The 18,299-nt window shown below is 38.2% G+C and overlaps 1 protein-coding gene and 1 pseudogene across 8 annotated transcripts in view; both read right to left on the minus strand.

Moving 5' to 3' along the window:
• Positions 1–9,046: 9,046 nt before the first annotated feature.
• Positions 9,047–18,299, minus strand: part of ANKRD30BL (ankyrin repeat domain 30B like) — a 110,443-nt gene continuing 101,190 nt past the window's right edge. For 3 of the 8 annotated variants that reach the window (NR_027020.3, NR_164000.2, NM_001358416.1), the window contains 3 exons: positions 16,118–16,224; positions 12,368–12,432; positions 9,047–9,684 (listed from right to left, as the gene is read on the minus strand). Coding sequence is in view for 2 of the 8 variants with exons in the window: in NM_001358416.1 (NP_001345345.1) it covers positions 9,587–9,684; positions 12,368–12,432; positions 16,118–16,224 (270 nt within the window). In the remaining 6 variants the exon portion in view is untranslated. The other 5 variants (NR_163999.2, NR_027019.3, NR_152415.2 and 2 more) reach the window with 4 other exon arrangements.
• Positions 13,699–13,805, minus strand: RNU6-1132P (RNA, U6 small nuclear 1132, pseudogene; annotated as a pseudogene).

An 18,299-nucleotide genomic window follows, 5' to 3' on the forward strand; every position in this document is an offset into this window, starting at 1 on the left:
TAAAAGAAAAATCAGTATTGTAAGCTAATCACAGTAATTACATTTGCTTTCCTAGTGATTGGTATAGAAATTAGCATGTGGTATAATCCAGACAATAAAATGTTACAGGAAGATTACTGAAAGCTTCCGAGTTTTCTTCCTATTTAAAAAAAATGTGAACAAAAGCAGCCCTCCCAGCCTTCAGATATTGTCTTGAGATAGCATGATGATTGGAGCTGTTGCTAATTAGCCAACCAAGAAAGGAGACATGAACAAAACACTGCCAATAGCACAACTAATAATGGGGGGCGGGGAGTGAGATCCTATAACATCTCTGTACCACCAAAACAACTTTAGTTTCTATGGTTTTAGCAATTGTTAGTTAGTTCATCTAATATTTACAGCCAGAACTATTTTGGGAATTTTTCCAGGGCTTACAGAATAAGATCTACTCATTTCTACACTATGAAAATGTGTTGCCTAAGCTTGCCTTATCTAGACACTCAAGCCATTCCCGAATACTCCCATACCACACTATTTCCATTAGGGAACCCAAAGTGCCAATAAACTCTACAAAGTTCACTCAAGCATCTTACCATTTGTACTTGCTTTTGTAGCTGTTTTTTTTATAGGACATGTGATCATCTTAGATGTTCCTTCTTCCAAAACTTCAATTTTATTAGATGTTACTCCTGCCACTCATTCAGTCTTTACAGATGTTTCTTTTTCCTTCCATGTGGTCTTTGTAGGTCTTTCTCGTGGCCATGCAAATTTCTCAGATGTTTCGTTCACAGGCCTTGTAATTTTCCTAGGTGTTTCTCCTGCTGACTGTTCAATCTTTCCAGATATTGCTTTCCCCAAACATTGAACTTCGTCAGATGTTCCCTCTACCAAGGGTGCAGCTTCATGTTGGAAATAACTTTTTGGTGACACAAAGAAGAGTTAGCACTCCAGCCACAGGTTAACACTCCAGCAAGGCAAATTTACTTCTATAGAAGGCTGAGTCTTGCGGATGGAGCAATGGCAAGAGCACACTGGATAAGGGAGGGGAAAGGGTTCTTATTCCTAATGCAGCTAGTCCCTACTTTTGTGTCTTTCCCCTACTGGCTAGGGTTGGACCACACACTATAAGCTAATTTTGACTGGCTACTTCAAAGAGGACAGGGGTGCAAGCCAGAGTGGCGGGGTGGGTAGTTTCTGCAGGAAGGACAGTTACAGAGCAGGCGACTAAGGATGACTAAGGACAGAGCAGGTGACTAAGAATGACTAAGGACAGAGTAGGTGATAGGGACTAGGAGGGGGTCGTTTACTGAAACTAGGGGCAAGGAGGCATAAATAATGAGGAAGTTAAACTTTAAAATGGAGAACAAAGAACAGAGAAGCTGAACATACTGACATATTAGTTCTTTGAAGAGGAACTCAGAACTCACTGTACTTAACAATCTTCCCTCTCTTGAATTTTAAAGGACGTTAACAGGCTAAAACCTTTGAAGAGGAATTCACTGTATTCTACAATTCCCTCTTTCAATTTTTATAGCCCTTCCTCTTCAAACCTTTTTAACATGTCTTGGCTTTTTTTTTTTTTTCAACTTGATCCTCTAAAAAGAAAAGCCTATCTGAATAAGGTGGAGGACAGCTAAGGGAGGTTTTAGAAAGTGTTGTTTCTATAAGCCTTTGCACTAGCCCATGGATGCACGGTATGACACAACACCCAACAAGAATGAGTACAGCCGTTACTGCTGTAAGAGAAGTAAGAATTGAGGCTATGATTTCTTTCCATTTACTGAAACACCTTTCTAGCCATCTGAAGAAAGGGTTATTGGCCCCAGAGTTTTTAGCTAATTCATTGGATAAAGTGGTAAATCCTTGTAGGGCCCTTGTTATGCTCCCATTGGGGGCAGTGTTGTTTGCCCCCAATGGATAAAGGTATATCACTGAGTTTTAATCATAACACAAACACCACCTTTTTCAGCTAATATCATATCCAGGGCCATTCTGTTTTCCCAGGCCATCTGGCTAGTTGGCCTCAATTGTTCTGCTATTCCTTTGACAACATCCCTGGTGGAATTAATAAACCACTGTTGATTATTATAGATGTAATTCACCAAATCTACATTTTTATTGTCATCCACCAAAATATTGATTCAAATCCTGTAGCTATTTGATCTTAGGCTTAAATGTATCTGGTACTCCTCATGGGATTCCAATAGCATCTAAATAAATGTGGGAGTCAAAAGACCTGTAAGGGACTTCCCTTGCTTTACGATGTTGTGTTTTCCCTTTTTCTGGTTGATGAAATGCCAGAGTGAAAAGTATAGCCAACTGGACTAGAGCATGAGGGCTGCTCCAGTTACTTGGCAGAGTGTCCAGTAAAGGTCCACCACAATACCACCATACATCTGCTCAGGGATGTATAAGGGATGACTGATTGGTAAGCTCTTGGAAAGTCTTAAGCTTACTGCATCCTTTTAGGTCTCCAAACAATGCTAAGTTTCCTCCTTTTTGTGAGAGACATGAAGTGAACTTAGTGTCGGGAGACGGAAGCTGGATGGCCCTTGGAGGCTGACCTGCAGGGTGTTGAACTTTGGGATATAGCAGAGAGGGAGATTGACATGACTTGTTACCCCAGACTGTGGAACCCTGGAAAAGAGCTACCATACAGCCCATGCCTGGTCGACTGAAGGACCATCCTAGTGGAAAGGGGACAATCTGGGCCTCTGGTGTGCTGTGTGCACAAGCGTAACAATTGCTTTTGTTTAAAGTGCGAACGCAGTATTTGACGCATTCCAACCAGGCATTCACATCTTGATATGCTGTCTCAGTTGCCAAAGTTTGTTTTAGGTCTTTAACTTCTACAATAGCTACCTTGGTCTTCTCTTTAGATGGAGGAGGAACAACAGTTTCATTGTGAGAGTTTTTGGAAGAAGACTTAGGGGAAGCTGTAGGCAGTAGGGGAGCAATGAAGCATATTCCAAAAGATCCAATAGGGTCTGTTTCTGAAAACTCAGCCCCCATATCATAAAACCAGCTTAAAGAAGGGAATTGGCTTAGAGAAGGGGAAGAACTTTGAGGGTTTGAAATAATAACCTGTATTGGATTGCAGTAGTTTACCTGAAAGTTAGGGGGAGCTATATCTTTAGTAAAATGAATGTATGGTTTTAGGAATTACAACTACTGGTTGGGGCAGTCCATCCTTGCTCTCACTTGCAAGCAGTTGGACCAACTATGTCATAAATGCTGTGTGTCAAGGGGGCAAGACTCCCAGTTGACACTGGGGTCTTCATTGAAACTTTCTCAGACTAAATGATCCAAATTCACTAATGTCCAGTCTGAGGAGAACCAGGAAGTACAGAGGTACCTTTCTGAAGTGGAGAGCTGCCTTCAACTTGACAAGTCTCCACAAGGTATAACAAGGCATGCATCAAATGTAATAGTTTGAGGAAAAATGGGTTCCATTGTCTGAGTCAATGTTTTCTATTAGCCTAAACCTGGGCACTATATTTTCAATTAAGGCCATAACTACATTATTGGCCATCACATTTGAAAAGGGAATAGCTTTGACCCAGTGAGTAAGGTGATCTACTGTCACTAGTAAATATTTTAGATGACCTATTGGAGGCATCTCTGTGTAATCAATCAGGATACTTTAAGTCTGGACTCCTTCTCCCAAGGGGTAATCTTTTTATAGTTTGTTTATTAGTTTTCTTACATACTAAGCAACTGTCTGTAACCTGTTTGGCCAGAGTATAAATTCCTATACACCCCAAAACTTTCAGAACTGTGTCACACATGGCTTGGGACCCCCAGTGGTTCCCTTGATGCAGCTGGGACAAGTTTTCCCTCATAAAGGGTTTGAACAACATTTCCCTCTGGTCTGACAATATTCATTTTTATTCTGAATCCTCTTTAGCACCTATTTTTATTAGTTTCTCTTTTCAGTGGAAGAGAAAATGGAGATTATGGTAGGAGGAGGAAGGTAAAGAGTTCAGTGAAAAATAGATGTTTTAAAAGAAATGGCAGCCTGTTTGCCTATGTAATCTGCTAGGCTATTTCCCAGACTATCAAAAGAAAGACTTTTCTGGTGTCTGGGGACATGGACAATCATTATTTCTTCTGGCAACTGAAGGTTATTCAATACTTAGGTGATTAGATCCTTATGAACAAGATCTTGACGTTTAGTATTAATGAGACCTCGTTCAGTCCAAATTTTTCCAAATGTACGAGCCACTCCAAAGGTGTACTTAGAATTGGTATGATGGCTACTTCCTGGTTCTGCAAGTACTTTAAGGCTCAGCTGAGTGCAAACAGCTCACAAGTTTGGGCAGACCAATTCTTAGGCAATTTTCCTGCCTCAATTTCTTCAAGAGTTTCCCTATCAATTAGTGAATACCCATTGCATCTTTTTGCCTCAATCACCTGGGAGGAACCATCTATAAATAAGTGTCGTCCCATCCTGAAGGGAGTTTCTCCTAAGTCTGGTCAGACCTTTGTATGGTAATCAGTTAAATCTAAACATGTGTGCTATCTCTTTAGACTTGGATCCCCTATTAGGAAAACTGCTGGGTTAAGGGAATTATCAGTGGTTAATGTTAAATCATCTTTTTCTAACAGAATAGTCTCATACTTTAAGATTCTTGAGTCAGTAAGCCACCTCCCTGCTTTCTGGTTTAAGATAGTTCTAACTTGATGGGGCGTTATTACTGTCAATTTTCCTCCAAAGGTTAACTTCCTGCTTTCTTTGACCATTAGTGCTGTAGTCACAATGGATTGGATGTATTGAGGCCACTCACAAGTAACTGGATCTAAGACTTTTGACAGGAAGGCCACCATGGGCTGCCGATGGCCTCCGTGTTCTTAAGTGAGCACTCCTAAAGCTACCCCATTATCCACATTGACAAAAAGGTGGAATGGCTTTTCCAGGGAAGGTAAGGCTAAGACAGGGGCTGTTATAAGCCTTTTTTTCAGCTCTTCAACCTGATCGACTTCCTCAGAAGTCCACAGGAAATGGTCAGTATTCCCCTGGGCAAGTTTTGGATATAGAATTTTACTGTTTAGTGCATGTGAGTTAATCCATAAGCAGCAGTATCCAACTAATCCTAAAAATTTCCTGAGTTCTTGTTTAAGTTTGAGGCAAGGGTAGGGACACGATTCCCTCAACTCATTCAGGCCCTATTCTTCACTTCTCTGCACTTATCAAGTGGTCTAAATATTTAATTTCAGGTTCTACATACTGAAGCTTTCCCTTTGAGACTCATAACCCCTCGAACTGCAGATGGTTGAGAATATGTGTAGAGAAGCCAGCTACCTTCTCTATATCTTCACCAGATATAAGAATATCATCAACGTATTGGAGCAGGCATATTTGTTTGGGATGATAACTTTTTCTAATACTTGTTCTAAAATTTGACTGAAAAGGTTAGGGGAGTTTGGGAACCCTTGGTGTAAGACTATCCATTGATATTGTTGTTTCTACCCTGAATGGGGATCCACCCACTCAAAAGCAAATATATCTGGCCTATCTTCAGCCAGGAGACATACCCAAAAAGCATCCTTCAAATCTATTACAGTAAACCATTGATTATTATATGGAATCTTGCTGAGAATGGTGTAAGGATTGAGGACAATGGGGTGGGTAGTTTGGACTATTTGGTTAATAGCCCTAAGGTCCTGTACCAGCCGATATGACCCATCTAATTTCTTGGCTGGCAATATTGGGCTGTTATAAGGGGACATAGAGGGCCCAAGAAGCCCATCTTTAATAAGACCTTCAATTATAGGTTTCAACCCTATCCTGCCCTCTAGGGGAATGGGGTATTGTTTCCTCCTTACTACTTCCCTGGGGTTTTTTAGCTTGATGTGCTTAGAGGGACTCAGAGTTTCCCTCAGTTTCCTTCTTTGGATCAGACATTAGGATTAATATATTTTTCATCTGCAGTGGTAAGTAGCTTTAATGAGGTGAGGAATCCTCTTGGGCTGAGTCGCAGGCCTATGCCTAACTTCAACATTAAATCCCTGCCTAGTAAATTAGTCCCTGCTTTAGGGATTAACAAAAACTGAATATGAGCTGATTGAGCCTGGTATCTGACTTCTGTGTTTTCTAAAATTTTTGCTTTAAATCCTTCTCCCTTTACCCCACAAACCAAAAGTTCCTCTGAAGAGCAGGCAATATTAGATGGGGGGGAAACAAACAGAGGATCGAGCCACTCCTGAATTGACTAAAAAGATTATAAACTCATGCTTAGGTCTCACTTCTAGACTTATCAAGGGCTCCTGGTGGGACTCAAGATAAAAGAGACAGAACCCCTGACACCATTATTTTCCTCAAAAGCCATGAGTGGAAGGGCTTCTTTTTCCTTTTCTAATTTGGGACATTCTCTCTTGAAGTGGCCTGTTCTTCCACATTTGTAGTGCCTACCTTGCCCTTCCCCACTCTCAGTTCTGGGATTCTTTGATTTTACTCCCCCATGCTATTTAGATGGCCTGGTAGACGAGAGCCTTGATCTTCCCAGTGGAGGCTTGGGTCCTTTAAAGGAGGGTTTGGAACCTTTATAGTTTCTGGCCCACTGGAAGCTTTGTTTAGGGGTACATGGGTTTGGAGCCATCTGTTGGAAGGTGAATAACATAAGTTTTGTCTTTTGTTTTTGCTTTTCTTCGTCTCTCTTCACAGATACTTTTTGAGTCTCTCTGAGGTTCACTTGAGGTCATTTCACTTGAGGTTCACTTCTCACTGAAGTTCACTTGAGGTCAGTTTTCCCAATCTTCTAATTTTTGTAACTTTTTTGAAATATCTGGACAATGTTGGCCAGGTGCAGTGGCTCATGCCTGTAATCCCAGCACTTTGAGAGGCCGAGGTGGGTGGATCACGAGGTCAGGAGACTGAGACCATCCTGGTTAACACGGAGAAACCCCATCTCTACTAAAAATACAAAAAATTTGCTGGGCGTGGTGGTGGGCACCTGTAGTTCCAGCTACTCGGGAGGCTAAGGCAGGAGAATGGAGTTAACCTGGGAGGCGGAGCTTGCAGTGAATCAAGATCGCACCATTGCACTCCAGCCTGTGTGACAGAGAGAGACTCCATCTCAAAAAAATAAAAAGAAATATCTGGACAACTTTTAGTGACAAAATGGAGCTTTAACATTCCCTGTCCCAGGGGATTTTCCAAATTTAGGCCTGCATATTTTCTCATTTGCTCCTTTAGTCTGTCTAAAAATTTCATAGTCCACTCATCTCTCTCCTGTTGTTGTATATCAAATGCTTTAGAGAGATTTTGAGTTTGGGGTACTGATTCCCTAGTTTCTTTCATTATCATTTCCCTTATGTCTTGCATGTTTTCTTGGTGAGCTGCATTATTATTATCCCACCGGGGATCTTGGGCAGGGAATTTTTGGTCCGTGGTAGGAACGTTTTGACAAGGAGGGTGTTCATATTCCCAAATTGCCATAGCAGCCCTACGGATCAGATCATGCTTCTTTCCTCCTCCGAAAAAAGGATGCCTAGGATGGACATAAACTCGACCAAAGTGTATAACTGAGGTCCCAAGAATTGATCAACCTGATCTGCCACCTCATAAGTGTCGTCTAACGATGGCTTAATTTCCTTTTTCAAACTTCAGACTTCTGAACTGGTCAAGGGAGCATTCACAAATACAATGGCTCCTCCTCCTTGTGACATGTCTTTTAAGGGGAAGAGAGCTGGGGCTGACTCCTTAGGTGTGGAGGGAAAAGGGAAGTTCTGAACGTCCTTTTTACATTGCTGTACCTCATGCTGGAGTCCCTTTAGGGAGAGGTATTTAGGCTGACAGGGGACAGGCTCATGGGATGATGACATCCAAGAATTAGAGTTGTAAGGAGGAGTAACAGCGTGAGCAGGAGAAGGATCTGGGGTGGGATCTGGGGTGGCAGCAGCTGCCCGAGGGGAAGGGTCAGAGGCACTGAGCAGGGCAAAATGGTATAGGGGATCCCATGTGCTGGCTTTAGGTGTGGGAGTCAGCTCGTCTGACTTTTCAATTTGAGATACTGGATCGGGTTCTTCCCTAGTTGTCTTTATGGGAATAAAGACAGGTCCCTGTCTCCAACAAAGAGCATAGTCTAGTTCTTCTTGAGAAACCAGATTTTTATCATTAACATATTGAATTAGAAGTTGACATATTACATCCTCAATCGACCCAAACTTTGGCCAGAAGATTGAGGGTTTGAAAATGGGACCTTGGGTCCAAATGAAACAGCAATATTTTATCCTCTAATGCTTTTTCTTATGTTTAGTCCTCTCATTATTCTTCCAATATTTTAACATGAGACCCAGGGGACTATCAGGGGGCATGTCTTTGTTACTATCCTCTTCTTTTTTGCTCCCTATCTTACTTGGGGCTTTTCCCATGTTAGGTCCTGGTTAGGCTCAATCCCGCATGCTAGAGATTTCTTCCCTATCCTTTATCGCCACCTGCTGGAGGCTCCTTGCATCCTTCTTTCGCTTCATCCACTCTGGCTGCTTCCCTCCCAGGAATTTTAGGTCCCTCTTAGCATTGGCATCATGGTATAAACTCCACAGCAAGATCTGCCCTGAGCCCTATGAGGATACAGTAAATTCCTCTTCAAAGGTTTTTATTCAAATAAAAAACCGCAGATAGGACCCACTCACTCCTCACAGCAATAATGCTTAGTATCATCCACACAAACAGCACCACAAGCAGTAGTGCTTGTGATCATTCACACACACTTTCAACCTCCAGAATATCCCGACCACCAAGGAAATACTTTGTCACCCCTGCGACATTTCTTACCTCGGTCTGTGCACAGTTACCTGGTCGCCACGGTATGTGAAGATCCTTTCCCCAAAGTTGCTGGCCTGTTTCTTTCCACGTTGCTGAGAGCCCGGGTTTATTAATCGCACCAGTTGAGTCTTGATTCCTTACCTTTATGGCCACTGCAACGAGGCAGCGGGGTGCGCCTCCTCAAGGGAGAGGACTGGACCCTCCCCTAGAGGAGAATGGGAATGCTGGGTGGGCCCTTAAATTTGTGGAAAATAAATTTTCAGCGCCGCAAAGAACCGTCAGCACTCCAGCAACAAGTTTTTACAGCAAGGCAAATTTACTTCTATGGAAGAGTGGTCTTGCAGATGGAGCAATGGCAAGATCACACCGGACAAGGGAGGGGAAAGTGTTCTTATTTCTAACGCAGCTAGTCCCTACTGTTGTGTCTTTTCCCTATTGGATAGGGTTGGACTGCACACTCTAAGCCAATTCAGATTGGCTATTTAAAGAGGGCAGGGGTATGAGCTGGAGTGGCAGGGTGAGTAGTTTCAGCGGGAAAGACAGTTACAGAGCAGGTGTCTAAGGATGACTAAGGACAGAGCAGGTTACTAAGAATGACTAAAGACAAAGCAGGTGTTAGAGGCTAGAAGGGGGCTGTTTAATGAAACTAGGGGCAAGGAGGCATAACGAACGAGGAAGTTAAACTTTAAAACGGAGAACAAAGAACAGAGAAGCTGAACATACTGACATATTTGTTCTTTGATGAGGAACTCAGAACTCATTGTACTTAATCTTCCCCCTCTTGAATTTTAAAGGATGTTTACAGGCTAAAATCTTTGAAGAGGAATTCACTGTATCCTATTCATCAGGTGTTCTTTCCACCAAGCTTTCAGCCGTGTCAGGTGTTCTTTCCGCCAAGGGTGCAGCCTCATCAGGTGTTCCTTCAGATGTTCCTTCTGCCAAACACAGAGTCTGGTTAAATTTTCCTTCGCTAAATATCATCCTTCTGACTCTTTACCTGGAAAACTTCTACTCATTCAGCTTGCTTTCCTTAAATACTACCAAACTTTTGTTTTCTCCTTTTTTTTTTTTTTTTTTTTTTTTTTTTTTTGAGACAAGAGCCTCGCTCTGTTGCCCAGGCTGGAGTGCAGTGGCACGATCTCAGCAGATCACTGCAACCTCCGCCTCCTAGGTTCATGAAATTCTCCTACCTCAGCCTCCCATGTAGCTGGTATTACATATGCATGCCACCCAGGCCCAGCTAATTTTTTGTATTTAGTAGAGATGGGATTTCACCATGTTAGTCAGGGTGGTCCCAAACTCCTGTGCTCAAGCAATCCGCCCGCTTTGGCCTTCCAAAGTGCTAGGATTACAGGAGTGAGCCACCGCTCCTGGACACTACCAAACTTTTTAAAGCTTTAATTCTTCACGTTGGATATAAAATGTCTGACACATACTGAATATGGTAATGACATAATAAGTGATAATTATAAGCTCCCAAAGGGGTTCTCGCACAGAGTAAGCACTAAATAAAGTAGTAAATAATAAAAAAGATGATAATAACAAGAAAAATGCTAAGTACCTTAATAAACTAGTAAATAATAAAAAATGACAATGATAATAGCAAGAAAGATGCTTAGTACCTTAATGATACCTGACAGTTATTTGTTAAGTGGACAAGTGGATAAACAAATAGAAAACATAGTTAGGAAATTCTGTTGGAAAAATGAAGAAATTCAATAGAGACAGCTCTATTGTATTATGAGCACCTTAAAGACCCAGACTATGTGTATTCCATGTTGGTCTCCTGCAACTTGCAAAATCTAACTTATAGAAGTCCTTTGATAAATATGTAATAAATTAAAGATGTGCTCATACAGTTCATATTGTACAATGTATTGTGTCACATTTAGGTATCACAGTAGCACTTTTGTTATTGTGAAAATTTTTTCCACTTTTATTATAATTCGTTGAGCCTAGAGTTGAGCTAGTTTTATATTTATAATGATAATATTTTGGCTAGTAGGAACAGAGTAACTTGTTGTAACAAAATTACTATCAACACACTAATTATTCAGCAGATAGAACAACACATCTTGTTCTAATGAAGTAAACATATCTTATTTGGTTTCAACTTAGAGGGAATGAAGTTGATAATAGTGAGACCTTGTTGGTACAAGACTATGTAACATAACCTGTACTTCTCAACAAAGAATTGCTTTTCTGACTTCTGCACTCAGTAGGTATCTTTGAAAAATAATCTCCTACTGGTACTGATGCACCCTCACTAAGTTATGTTAATTCTTATTGACATTCATTTAGGGTGCAAGAAAAGTATTATTGAGATCCAAATTCTAAAGATAGTTACTTTTTTAGTGACAAAAGTCACTATGCCACACAGTTGATCTTTGAATAAGGGTTTTCACTCTAGGAGCCCACTAATAGACAGATTTTTCTTTTCCTTTGCCACTGCAAGATACTAAGACAAATCTCACCTCTGCCTCCTCCTTATCAGCCTACTCAACATAAAGGCAATGAGAATGAAGTCCTTTATGTATAATAATTCACTTCCATCTAATAAATAGTGAATATATTTCTTCCTCTTTATAAGTTTCTTTTCTCCAGCTCACTTTATTCTAAGAATACAGTATATAGTACATATAAAATAGAAACTATGGGTTAATTGACTGCTTATGCTTTCAACTTTTTTCAGGCTCCAGGTCAACAGTAGAATGTTAGTAGAGTTTTGGAGGAGTCAAAAGAAACAGATTTTCCTATAAAGCAGATTTTCAGCTGCATGGGGGGATCAGCACCCTAACTCTCATGTTGCTCAATACTCGACTGTAATTAATTCTAATTTTCTGAATGCAAATCATTTATTACAAAAATTAAATAAAGCCCAGAAGTTCAAGACCAGCCTGGGCAACATAAGGAGACCATGTCTCTACAATAAAGAAACAAACAAATAAATAATTTATTTGTTAAATTAACAAATAAACATTTTATATGTTTATGTTTAATAAACAAACAAATATTTGTTTATTTAACAGTTTATTTAACTGTGTTTCTTTATAGGTTATAATATTCAAATGTTGCAGTTTTCTGTTATTAATTCCTACTTTTCATTATTAGATGTTCTATTATTTGTGGCTTGTAATTCAAGGCACCTAAGCTATTTTATAATTTGTAATAAAATTTATTTATAAATATATTAATTCATTAAATTGGATAAGCTGATAATCCCCTATTACTGAGCTCATCAATCACACCAAGGATTATACATTTTATAACAAGCATAAATTTTTATGACAGTTGAGGAAACATAAAATAGATAAACTTAAAAATTGTTTTACTTATTTATACAAAAGTATTATATAGGATATTAGGGACCACAATTAAACAAACATTTTTTCAGATAATATTTTTGAGATTATAAACTACCTACAACTAAATTCTTAATGAATTCTGAATTATAAACTAAAAAATTAAATCAAAGCTTTGTATATAAAAAAACACATATAGGTCTATATGTAAACACATGCTACTTACACATTGCTTTTCTAATAGCTCTTTTGTGATTAACACTCCTATAATCTTATGGTAGCACCACCAAGAGTAGTTTACTATCAGAGGTCTTACCTGGATTACTATTTTGAGAATTTTTAGATATCTTTTGTTTATATTCCAAAAGTTGTTGATGAACGCTATGTATAAAAATGAAATAAATAAAATCACTATTTTAACATTGATATAAAAAATATTTACCAAATTTATTACATTCTTAGGGTATTTCAGACAATATTAGAGCTAACATCAGAACATTACTTTTTCCATAGACTTTAAGTTTGTAAGCTCTATGAACTTATTAAGCTTCTAATTAAAGAAGAAAGAAAGATAAAACACTCATGAAGTGAGGGCAGTATAACTCAGTAAATTAACTAGAGGTAGCTTGACATGTGGAAAATGTCCTTAACTCGGAATAAGTCCTAGCATGGCTACCAACAGGTATTTTTTCTTGAACAAGTTGCTTCTCTTAGACTCAATGTCTTCTAAAAATGAGGATTTTAGGGCCTTATTTCACTAGGTTATTATAAAGATTTAACAAGATAACATTTTAAAAATGCTTAAAATAAAAAATGAAGCAAAAAAAATTTGTTCTTGAACCTTATTGCTGAAACAATTTAAAATTCCCAATAAAACCCAATATATTGGCCTGGTGCAGTGGCTCATGCTTGTGAGGCAAGCACTTTTGGATGCTGAGACAGGAGGATTGCTTGAATCCAGAAGTTCAAGACCAGCCTGGGCAACATAGGGAGACCATGTCTCAACAAAAATTAAATTACAAAAAAAAAACAAAAAAAATGTTTTTCTTCATAGGTTATAATATTCAAATATTGCAATTTTCTGTTATTAATTCCTACTTTTGGACATTAGATGTTCTATTCTTTGTGGCTTGTAATTCAGAGCATCTAAGCTATTTTATATTTTGTAATGAAATATATTTATAAATATATTAAATCATTAAATCAGATAACCAAATTATACTCTATTACTGAGCTCATCAGTCACACCAAGGGCAGAAAACTAATAGATGTCAGCATCTGGCTTGGACTACTACTAGTCTTTATCTACCTCCTTAAACTCTGAACCAACAAATCTTTGTTAGAATGATGCTTAGTCACTATGTTCATTTCCAGCTGCTGTGGAAGACAAAACCCTACCTTTATTTTTTGTAAGTTCCACAAAGAAGATGCAAGTTGGTATTTTCTCATTTCTGAGATCCCTACTAACAAAATATTGCACACAAGATCCTATGTGTTACCACATCTCATTTCATAGATGACCTTACGTAAATAATTTTTTGTATGAAAATCACAATTGCAATACTGGGTGTCACCCATTTTGCTTTGACTCACACCATTTCCTTGGAGCTAGTTAGAAAGTAGTAAAATGTCCTTTTGGGGACTCCAAGAAATATGCAACACCTTACAGATTTCTATGTCATCTTTGTGCGGGGACCATGCTGATCTTCTCAACGTTGTTTTAATTTTACTATATGTACCACTGAAGCCAGCACAAATCCTTACTTTTATACGTGAAGACTGATCAGTGATGGATGAGGCTTAGCTCTGTTAAATCTAACCAACTTACTTGAGATTTAGTGAAGTCTATTGAATGGCTTCATGGTGATGCAGCATTTGAAAATATTTTAGAAACTCGAGGTAGAGATGTAAGTAGCATGGGAGATTTTTACTTTTAGGAAAAAAGAATCACTTGAGGGGACAACCACAAGTTGGAACCCACTACAACTTGGGAAAGATGACATGGGATTTTACAGAATGAGACCGTCCACTGCCTACAAAATGGTGCTACACAGGATATAAAGGGCCAGGGATATAGATCTGGTAACAAAGACAAAATGGATCTCTAATTTCTTCCTGTAACATTATTTCAACCTGACTTACAGTTTCAAACGACCACAACTAATATTGGCTAGAGAAAATAGAAAAAAGCCACTCAAAGGATAACTTACCATGAAGGTCTAGGCCATGTCCAGGCTAAGATGTGGGTTTCACATCAGGTTTTGAGTGTGAGGAGAAGAGTCAATTTGCTCACTATGTGTGTGGCTAAAGCTAAAAGTTCTAGCTGCCAGAGTGGGGTGCTGGTACTTTGGAAACAATGGCTGAGAATATGTACGTGAACTTTAAAAACATGCAGTAACTTCGAAGTCTACACCATGAAGACTGAAGAACCTGTGTTAGTAAGGGCTTCCTGGTCACAAAGGCCAATCATTACCAGACTGCAGGAGCAGTTTCAATGGCAACGATGCAGCAATAGAATCAATGGAAACAACAAAATGAAGAGAATGGCCATTTCTGCCCCCACCGCCAATCCTTCTGACTTGTACAAAAGGAATGTCTTCCTTGGACTTAGGTTCAGATTCTTTTAAAAAATTCAAGAATAAAGGTATGGAAGACAGCCCCCTGGGGACATTATCAGGTTTTCTGCTTAAAGTGGACTTTTCGAGACCCAAATAACTAATTAGAAAAACCAAAATTGTGACATTATATTTATCCCATGCATAGGGGTTATACTTCAAATCAAGTAGACAACATTAGCGTCCCTAAAGCCCTAAAATAAAGAATCCTGGAGCCATTAATCCTTCTAACTAGTCAGCTTTTTGCCTAGTTTCTGGCTGATGAAGTGAACTAACTCACTGTCATTCAAAAACTACCTGAAACAAACTATAAAATCTCACCTAGCCTTTAAATGTAAACACTTAGAGATTAAATCCACAAGCAACAGCATAACGTTCTGCAATCATTCCACATGTAGCTTCAGCACAGATGTCAACATTTTGCTGAAGAAGCTTGCCAACTATCTCTGATGATCCATGACATATGGCAAGCATGAGGGCTGTGCTAAAATAACAAAGAGATAACTTCATTATTAGGAACGAACGAATTTAATATGTGCCTGTCAGTATAGAATTAACCATTTACATGTATTAACAAACGTTAAGTATCTTGAGTGCTCAAGTGTTTATCCTTGTAAATCACGACCAAGGCTAAAAGGAAGGGGTGAAAAGACTCATGTCTCACTGGGATATGGCATAGTAGAATTGGCTAACATAAAGTCCACTGAGGGGCAAGAAAATACGTTCTGTTCACTAATCTAAAAGAGGCAAAGTTTTAAGTGAAGAATTATCTATTTCCTCCTTAGTCTGATATAATATTTTGTACTTCAAAGTTAGCTAGAAGTCGGACAAGTGAGAGCAATCTGAAGACTTAAAACAATATTAGGAATAATATTGTCCTGAGTACCTGGGACTACAGGCTTGTGCCACCATGGTTGGCTAATTTTTATATTTTTCATTGAGATGGAGTTTTACCATGTTGGCTAGGCTGGTCTCAAACTCCTGGCCTCAGGTGATCTACACACTTGGCCTCTCAAAGTGCTGAGATAACAGACAACAGCTACCATGCCCAGCAAATATTGCATTTTTTAAAAGTGTATGAAAAACAGAAGTTAGAAAAATACTATAAAGGTGTTAATCATTCAATACTGAATTATAAAGTAAACTAAAAATTCATACTTCTTAAAACTAATACAGAACCACTTTAGCTAATAGAAGATAATGCAACCAAAAACATCAGATTAAAAATAAGAATCAGTCAATATAATAAAAGAAGAAAATCCTACTGTATACTGTTCTTTGTGTTGACCAGTCCAAATAATTGCTTTTCTTCCTAACTGATAATTTGTGTTGGTATTTTTCTGCATAATCTAATAATTTTAAGTAAATGTTACTAATTTAATATTTCTGACTTGAGAGTTATTACTCTAGCACACTACTCAAGTGTTTTTTAATAAAAAAAACTACTATACCATTTAAACTTATCAACTGCATTTGCATTTGCATTTTTTGTCAGTAAAAATTCCACAATTTCCTCACTTCTTTTCCTTATGGCCAGTAAAAGTGGTGTGTGGCCAGCCTGTAAAACAGCAAAAACAATTTATAATTCATGAAATTACATATTTCTCAGCTGAATTGAATACCTTATATAATATCCTATGAACTTAAACAATGGAAAGTAAATCAATAGCAATCCCTTCTTTCTCACTTTTCTGTGCTTTCCCATGCACTGCACCTTCTCTTGTAAACATTCAGCCTCTGCATCACCACATTAACTCTAGTTATCTCCAAAAATCATTATATTGTAATGATTTTATTGTTTCCCATGTAAACCAAGAGCTTCTTGAGGGCAGGGGCTGTATCTTTTACCTCTATGTCCTTAAACCCTAAGACATAGTAGTAAATACTTTATTTTTTACTAAATTAGTAATCTAAATTATTACCTCTAGAACAGTGTTTCTTCAACTATATTCCAAAGAATAATTACCTTACCAGAAGCACTGTACCCCAAAAGATTCCACCATTATCTATGTTCAAGAAATGTTATAAAACTGTGAATTAAATATTCATTATTCAAGAAATGAATTGAACTTTACCTAATCCTTATTTGACAGTATATTTTTGTGGCAAACATTAACATTTGACAAATTAGAATTTCAGGGATACAGTTTTGAAAGCTTCCCCCCAAAAATGGAGGTTTCCTCTGGCTGATACAAACTCACTTGATTCTCTTCTATCAATGATTCCAAGATTCCAAATGCCAATGTCAGGCACTCCTGCTCTAAATGGGTCACTAAGGAAGTGGCTCTAAATTAAAAGAGATTGGCTTCAAATAAACTTTGATTGCTTATTATTAAATGGTCCATGGGGTTTATCCTATTACCAGACAATAGGATTTTATCTCGGCTATTAAAAATTCAGTATACAAGGCCAGGCAAGGTGGTTCATGCCTGTAATCCCAGCACTTTGAGAGGCCAAGGCGGGCAGATCACAAGGTCAGGAGATCGAGACCATCGTGGTCAACATGGTGAAACCCCATCTCTGCTAAAAATACAAAAAATTTAGCTGGGCGTGGTGGCACATGCCTGTGTCCCAGCTACTCAGGAGGCTGAGGCAGGAGAATCGCTTGAACCAGGGAGGCAAAGATTGCAGTGAGCCGAGATCACACCACTGCACTCCAGCCTGGTGACAGAGCGAGGCTCCGTCTCAAAAAAAAAAAAAAAGAAGAAAAAAAGAAAAGAAATTCAGTATAAAAGTTTATTCTCTATTATAATGATACTCCTAGGATCCTAATGCATATCTACTTCTTAAAATGCAATAATCCACTTTTATTCTGGTTTCTATTGTAATTGATACTATTTTTTGGCAAAATATCAGAAGTATGAATAAAACGGCTTATTAACGAAAGTTCTAACTCATGTATGTGGCTTAGCAAAATAGAAGCCATAAATCACTTGAATTTTAAGGGACAATTCTGTGGAGAAAGATATAATATTTTTTCTGCAATATGCATAACCTATTCAAATACAAACATGATTAATCTAAAAAGGCTTAAAGGCTTTCTAATAGAAGATGATTATTTATGGTTTATATGAAGAAAAATCATCATTTAAAAAATATTCTAAATTTTAGAAGACAACCCCATTATTAATGAATTAATGTAAAATATAAACTATATATTATAAACACCTATAAACTGTCTTCAATAACTTGAAATCTTTACCCAAATGTACTATGAGAGAGGAATTGATAACTGAAATATTTACAGAGGCAAAAGAGGTAAGTTGAATAAGTGATGTAACTAGGTGGGCACAGTAGCAAACTGGAAACATATGCTTTATGTAAAATTAGAATGTCTTCATAGCATACCAAACAGTCATACGGGCTCAAAAGACACAAGATTCAATCCTTTAAGAGGAAATCCAGATTTCTGCATGTCTCCTAAATTTTACATGTTGACTCAATTTATGCAGGCAAATTTTACTTTCCTGTAGTTTTACACTAACTGGAAAGAAAAAAAAAACTTGGGTGGGAAAGAATATTTGAAAATGTTTTACCTTTAACAAATTTAAATATTTATCATAATGCACAGAAAAGCCATACTAATAGTTCTTGTAAAAATATTAATATTTAAAGCAAAATCCTAGACAATTA

The sequence above is a fragment of the Homo sapiens genome, chromosome 2 (genome assembly GCF_000001405.40).
Source record: "Homo sapiens chromosome 2, GRCh38.p14 Primary Assembly".
Lineage (NCBI taxonomy): Eukaryota > Metazoa > Chordata > Mammalia > Primates > Hominidae > Homo > Homo sapiens.